The following is a 7709-nucleotide window of genomic DNA, read 5'->3' as shown; positions in this document are numbered from 1 at the left end:
ATTCTCCTGTCTCAGCCTCCCGAGTAGCTGGAATTACAGGCACCGGCCACCATGCCTGGCTAATTTTTGTTTTTTGTTTTGTTTTTTAATGGAGAGAGAGGTTTTCACCATGTTGGCCAGACTGGTCTCCAACTCCTGACCTTACATAATCTACCTGCCTCAGCCTCCCAAAGTGCTGGGATTATAGGCCTGAGCCAGCACACCTGGCCTAACTCTGCATTCTAAGCATCAAAGAGGACAAGGGCATGTGTGGCTGCTTTTAAGGAAACCTACCCAAGGTACCATGCTGCATTTTCACATACATCCCATCGGCCAGCTGCAAAGAAGCGGTGTGACATTTAGTCTTTATTTTGAATCATGTACCTGGCTAAAACTCTGATCTGGGATTGTATTACTATGAAAGAAGGAGAGAGAACATATTAGGGAACAACTGGAAGTCTCTAATGTCATTTGACAGAGGCCCATTCAAATGCCTCTTCCTTTAAGTGACTCCTCAGATCCCCAAATGGAATTAGCCACTTCTTCCTGAGCCCTTGCCTGCAGTTTTTACCAGATCTCTCTGTCATCTACTGCAGTCAGTTCTGGAGTTGGTTTCCCTGCTAGGTTATAAGCCCCTGGGAGACAGGAGCAGTGCCTTCCATAACCTTAAACCTCCTTCTATAACCTTGAGCCAGTTGCAAATGGGGCAGGGAAGGTTCTCAGTAAACATATGTTGACCAAATGGAACTGGCTCCTAAGCATCTCAGGTCCTTCCTCCCTGGGGACCAGTGGTGTAGCTTTGGAGGTGCCTGGTAGGTGTCAGGATCACAGCCTGGAGCTGATGCACATATGGACCTATTCTGTGTTTATGTCTTATTTGCTTTTATTTAATAGCACTTTGTGGAGGTATAACTTATAGACGTTAAAGTTCTCTAATCTTAAGTCTAAGCACAATGACTTCTTATAAATGTACACATTCATGTCACTACTGTTCCGAGCAAGAGGGAGAACATTTCCAGCACCTCCAAAGGTGCTCTTGTGCCCTTTCTTAGTAATAGCCCCTGCAGAGGTAACCATTGTTCATATTTTGTGTGTGGCTTTGGCTTTATTGATACTTGTCTTAACTGCAGCAACAACAGGCTGCTTAGTGGCTGCGAGGAAAGCCTGGGCTGGGAAGCATCTCTCTCTCCAGCTCCAAGTCCTTCTCCAACTCTCTACATGCCAGTCAAACTAGACTTTAAGTTCCTTTAACTCACTCAGCTTTCTCTGGCCGCAGGACCTTTGCACACGCCATTTCATCTTCCTGGGGCACTCTTCCCCCACATGTGGGCTGTTTCATTCCTGTTTGAATTTCGGGTCTCAGCTCAGACATTATTGCTTCAGGAGACTGTCCCTGCCCCCACTCAGACTGGGTTCTTCACTCCCACAGAACATTGAACTTTTCCTTCTGAAAAGATGATCACTCTTGTAATTCCATAATTCCCGGCATGTTGGTTGGACACATTCTAAAGTGACCCCATGCCAGAGAGACATGCCCTTGTATAATCCCCTCCCCTCGAGTGTGGGTGGGACCTGTGGTTTGCCTCTAGTCCATAGACTGTGTCAAAGGTGAAGAGATTTAGCAGCTCAAAACCAGTTGATTTTAATTCAATAAAAAAGGGATATTACCCTGTGTGGGCCTGACTTAATCAGGGGAAAGGCCCTAAAAAAGGAACTGACGCCGTCCTTGAGGTGAAAGACTCCTGTTGGCCTTGAAGAATCAAGCCACCAAGTAAGGAAATGAACTCTGCCCGGGATCTGATGGAGCTTGGAAGCAGATCTTTTTCCAGTTAAACCTCTGCTGAGACTGCAGCCCAAAGTTTACCTGGGTGCTGTGCTCATGGTCTCACCTGGCGGAGCTTTTTGAGACCGTGAGCAGAGGGCCTAGGTAAACTATGCCAGAACCTTTGACTCACAGAAACTGAGATAAGGAATGTGTGTTGTTTTAAGCGTCTAAGTGTGTAGTAAGTTGTCACACAGCAATAGCTAACAAGTCCATCTTCCTTTCCCTCTAGAATGAGCTCCTTAAGAGCAGGGACCTTGTCTTGTTCTAAATTGGAGACATCCCTGTTCTCTAATATAGAGGTTTCCAAACTTTCTTGGGTCACAGTTCCATTAGTGTCTTAATTTTTTTTCATGATGCCCCTAGATCAAAAGAAATACCTAACACTTCCATTTATTAAGTAGCTTTATCTGAAGAACTTAATATGTATTTATATCCTAATAATTTAGTAGCCATTTGAAAAATAATACATATAAATTGAAAGAAAAAATATTTTTATTTTTATTTATTTAATTTTTCTTTTTCTTTTTTGAGGCAGGGTCTCACTCTGTTACCCAGGCTGGAATGCAGTGGTGTGATCATAGCTCACTGCAGCTTCAAACTCCTGGGCTCAAGCAATCCTCCTGCCTTGGCCTCCCAAAGTGCTAGGATTGTAGGTTTGAGCCACTGCACCCAGCCCATATTTTTCTTTCTTTTTTTTTAGTTTTTTTTGAGACGGAGTCTCACTCTGTCACCCAGGCTGGAGTGCAATGGTGCCATCTTGGCTCACTGTAAGCTCCGCCTCCTGGGTTCAAGTGATTCTCCTGCCTCAGCCTCCTGAGTAGCTGGGATTACAGGTGTGTGCCACCACGCCTGGCTAATTTTTGTATTTTTAGTAGAAACAGGGTTTCACCATGTTGATCAGACTGGTCTTGAACTCCTGATCTCAGTTTATCCACCTGCCTTGGGCCTCCCAAAGTGCTGAGGTTACAGGGACGAGTCACTGCACCTGGCCTTATTTCATTCTTAATTGTAGTTACTAACTGGCAGAATCTGTGTGCCTGTTGGCAAACCTTTTGTTTGTTTGTTTGTTTGTTTGTTTGTTGTTTTTGAGACAGAGTCTCACTCTGTCACCCAGGCTGGAGTGCAGTGGCACGATCACAGCTCACTGCAACCTACACCTCCCAGGTTTAAGCGATTCTCCTGCCTCAGCCTCCTGAGTAGCTGTGACTGTAGATGTGCACCACCATGGCCCAGCTAATATTTGTGTTTTTAGTAGAGATGGGGTTTCACCATGTTGGCCAGGCTGGTCTCGAACTCCTGACCTCAAGTGATTCACCCACCTCGGTCTCCCAAAGTGCTGGGATTACAGGCATGAGCCACTGCACCTGGCCCATTGACAAACCTTGAAATCAGGTCGAACACCATCCTCATCCTCATTTCTTGTTCGCATTGATTTTCGCATCAATGAAAATCTATCTTCGCAAAGATATGACATCATCAAAAGAAATGTATGTAGTGCAATCTAATGTTTAGTATGAATGTGAACTACCTCAAGCTTGTGTGGTGTTACTGTTTTCTTTGAAAACTTAAGGCCAGGTGTGGTAGCTCACACCTGTAATCCCAGCACTTCGGGAGGCCAAGGTTGGGGGATCACTTGAGCCCAGGAGTTCAAGACCAGCCTGGGCAACATGGCAAAACCCTACCTCTACAAAAAATACAAAAATTAGCTGAGGGTGATGGCACATGCCTGTGGTCCTAGCTACTCAAGGGGCTGGGGTGGGAGGATCACCTGAGCCCGGGGAATTCAAGGCTGCAGCGACCCGTGATCATGCCACTGCACTCCAGCCTGGGCAACAGAGTGAGGCTCTGTCTTGAAATATAAAAAAAAGAAAATTTAAAATATCCCGTACTGCCCCTGTGAGTTCACTGTGGTGCCCCAGGGTACCTTGGCACAGAGTTTGGGAACCATGAACTTGCTAGGTACATGGGTGGGACTCAACAAATAGTCATGAACTAAGTGACTGACTGAATGAACAAAATAACTGTGGTAGGAAGGGAAGCCAGAGAGGGACAAAGAGGGGTTTGAGGTGGAAGGACCTCTTTATTTTCCCCTAGCACAGTGGTTCTAGAGGGCCATCAGTCAGAGTCTAAACAGGAAAGCAGAAGACACTTCAGATGTTTCCAACAGGAGGAATGCGATACAGGAGATTGGTTATACAAGTGCTGGGAGCATGGAGAAGCCATATAACAGATGATGGGGTCAATGTGGAGACTAGTGAGAGTAAGAAACTCTATGGCCCTGAGTCTGCAAGACAAAGGGAGGAAGGTATTAGTGGGCCCCCAAGGAACTGCAGCAGGCCTGTCGGGCAGCAGTTGAAGCCACGAAGGAGATGCAGCAGCTGCTAAAGATGCCAACCGAGGCAAAGCGGCGGGGCGGGGGGAGCGGGGAGCAAATACCCAGCTTTTCCCTTCTTCTTGCCTTCCAATCTCATTAGCGCCTCCTATTGCCCCAAAGTGGCAGAAAACTAGTTGGCACAGAGCCTGATGAATGCAGGCTGCAGTGTCACCCCCTGTTACTGAGAACAGTGGGGGAAGAAATGGACATTAAAACAAATAATTGTTGGCCGGACACAGTGGCTCATGCCTGTAATCCTACCTAGCACTTTGGGAGGCCGAGGTGGGTGGATTGCATGAGCTCAGGAGTTCAAGACCAGCCTGGGCAACATGGTGAAACCTCGTCTCTACTAAAATCCAAAAAAATTAGCCGGGCATGGCGGTGTGCACCTATAATCCCAGCTACTTGGGAGGCTGGGGCAGGAGAATCACTTGAGTCCGGGAGGCAGAGGTTGCAGTGAGCCAAGATCACGCCATTGCACTCCAGCCTGGGCAACAGAGCGAGACTCCATCTCAGAAAAAAAAAAAATTGTCATGGGACAGAGACTGGGCTGGGAGGAAGGTCATCGCCCCCAGGCTCTTGTCCTGGCCTGGGACTGAGAAGGGCCAGCATGTCCAGGACTGAACCACAGAGGACACCCTGTGTTCTCCCAGACACCAGGGAGGCCCCTTTTTCCAAACCTGGTACTGAGACTAAGCCCAAATTATACAGCTTTGGAGCTAGACCTTCTGCCAACTGGCTGTGTGACTGCCATCAGGTCACTCAACCACTCTGATCTCTGCTCTCCTCAGTGTCAAACATAGGGCTTGGACAAGACGGCCTCCTGGGTTCTGCCTATCTTTAGCATCCTTCAGTGTACAACTCAACCAGACTGTGAAGGAGGAGGAAGTACCAGAAGGGTGACCTGTAGGCGGAGAAATGGGTGGGCAAGAAGGCGGGGCCAGCTTCCACCCATTTATCTGTGAAACAGGGCGTGTAGGCGGGTTGCTGCAGATCACAAGCCTCTGAACCTCAGGCCTTTCTTGTCAGGGTCCGTGGAGTTGTCTTCTTTCTGGAGCTATTATCCAGGGCCAGGAGCTTTCTCTGGAGGGAGAAGAGTCCCAGGACAGTCTATCCCCTGGCCTCTCCTCTTAAAGATGTAGAGAGAGCTTACGGTCTGAGAGAGGGGACCATCTGACTCTAGAGGCATTTGCAGTGATCTCAGGGAGGGGAATAGAGGCTGGGAGGCAGGTTCAAGGGGCCCTGAGAGATTTAAAGAGATTGAAACATCGATGTGAGGAGGCAGCTGGACCAGAAGTTGTCAAATGTGTCAGAGGCCTGGAGAATTTCAGGGCTGGAATATACCCCCTACCTAGTGCAGCACTCTTACTGTACTGATGAGGAAACCAAAGTCCAGAGAGGGAAGGTGACTTGCTTAAGCTTCCTGATCTATTTCTAACCAGCCTCTGGACTCCCAGACTGGTTCTTTCCTGAACGAGAGCTTTCTCCCACATCAAACCCAGATCAAAACTCACTTGTTCTGTCTCATTCTGTCACAGCCTTTAGGCTGTGCTTTGGATTACCTGTTGCTCTTGCAAGTGAACCGAGCAGTTAATTTTCACTGAAACATGGGTTTAGGCTGGGTGCAATGGCTCACACCTGTAATCTCAGCACTTTGGGAGGTTGAGGCGAGAGGATCACTTGAGCCCAGGAGTTCAAGAGCAGCCTGGGCAACATAACGAGACCCTGTCTCTACAGAATTTTTTAAAAACTTAGCTGGGTGTGGTGACAGGCACCTGTAGTCCCAGCTGCCCAGGAGGCTGAGGTGGGAGGATTGCTCGAGCCATGCAGGTGGAGGCTACAGGGAGCTGTGATAGCACCACTGCCCTCCAGCTTGGGGGACAGATTGAGACCCTGTCTCAAATGAAACAAAACAAAAACAAAGACAAAAACAAAGACAAAAACATGGGTTTAATGTGCAGTGCTACTAGAATATCAGTCTCATGAAGCCCAGGATATTATCTGTTTTGTTTCACACTGTATTCCTAGCACCCAGAACAGTGCCCAGCACCTCATAGGAGCTCTATCAGTGATCCCCTCTTGGAAATCAGAAGCTTGTTGAAGATGATGTTCTAGACACAAAGTGCATCCAACAGTAGATGTTTCATGTTTTGGTTGGGAGAGTTATTTGAGGTTTCCCTCCCAAATCAGGAGGGCTATGCTCTCCATGCTCATGCTGAACACCCCGCCAATGACCCCTGGGAAGATGGTTCAGTCCTTCCTCAGTCCCCCTCTCTCAATATCTCAATATCCTCATCTTAGAATTTTTCCAGCTGGATCTGCTCCATCACAAAGAATGTAAAGAGTGTCCCTCCTCTCTTTTGCTCTGCCCTCCCGCCAAATGTCTCTTTTGCTCCGTCCTCCCCACAAATGCGGAGGATTAGGAGAGTAGTAAAAGACCCTCCCTCCCTTTTGGCCACAGCCTGGCACCACCATTGGAGCTTTTTCTTCTGAAGATGTTATTTTCTTTTTCTTTTTTTTTTTTTTTTGAAACAGAGTCTTGCTCTGTCACCCAGGCTGGAGTGCAGTGGCGCAATCTCTGCTCATTGCAACCTCTGCCTCGTGGGTTCAAGTGATTCCCCTGCCTCAGCCTCCCAAGTAGCTGGGACTACAGGCACATGCCACCATGCCTGGCTAATTTTTTTTGTATTTTTAGTAGACACGGGGTTTCACCATGTTGGCCAAGATGATCTCAATTTCCTGACCTCGTGATCCACCTGCCTTGGCCTCCCAAACTGCTGGGATTACAGGCATGAATCACAGCACCCAGCCTGAAGATGCTATTTTCAAGCTGCAGGCCCATATTCTCAAATGCCCATTCGGCATTTCCTCCTGCAGGGTTGCTGTGGGTTGAGTTGTGTCCCCAAAAATATATGCTGGGGGTACCCGTGAATGTGACCTTATTTGGCCAAGTTAAAATGTGGCCATACTGGATTGGGGTGAACCCTAAGCCAATGACTGGCATCCTTATCAGAAGAGAGAAAGTTGGACACCAACTTGGACACAGACATAAGGAGAACTCCCCGTGCCCACAGAGGTAAAGCCTGGAGTGACGCATCTACAAGCCAAGGAGAACCAAGTGGTTGGTTCTGGCAACCATCAGTAGCTAGGAAGATGCGAGGAGGGATTCCTCCCTGGAGCCTTTGGAGGGAGCATGGCCCTGCTGACACACCTTGATTTTGGCCTCCAGAATTGTGAGATAATAAGTTTCTGTTGTTTTAAGCCACTCAGGTTTGTGCTGTTTGTGAGGGCAGCCCTAGGAAACCCATACAATAATCTGCTGGAACCTCAAATGCAACACATTCCAGAGATAATCACTTTCCTTTTCAAGCCCGTGCCTCCTGAAGTTGCACTAATTCTTTTCATGACATCCCCCCTGGCCTTTACCCAGGTTTGAAAGATCTCAACTCCATCCTCATTTATTCTTTGGCAAATCCTTACCAAGTCTTGTCCTTTTGTCCCAATCATCTGTCTTTGTTCTCCCTCTCCCCT

General features: G+C 47.8%; 1 annotated feature.

Moving 5' to 3' along the window:
* Positions 5192-5241: an enhancer, noted in NCBI's record as "active region_24478". NCBI's record gives its function as "activates an Ori minimal core promoter by ATAC-STARR-seq in GM12878 lymphoblastoid cells {active_cell/tissue: GM12878}" and the evidence as "EXISTENCE:reporter gene assay evidence [ECO:0000049][PMID:35858748]".

This window comes from Homo sapiens, chromosome 6, assembly GCF_000001405.40.
Source record: "Homo sapiens chromosome 6, GRCh38.p14 Primary Assembly".
In the NCBI taxonomy this organism is placed as follows: domain Eukaryota; kingdom Metazoa; phylum Chordata; class Mammalia; order Primates; family Hominidae; genus Homo; species Homo sapiens.
This window is presented reverse-complemented; position numbering and strand designations above follow the sequence as displayed.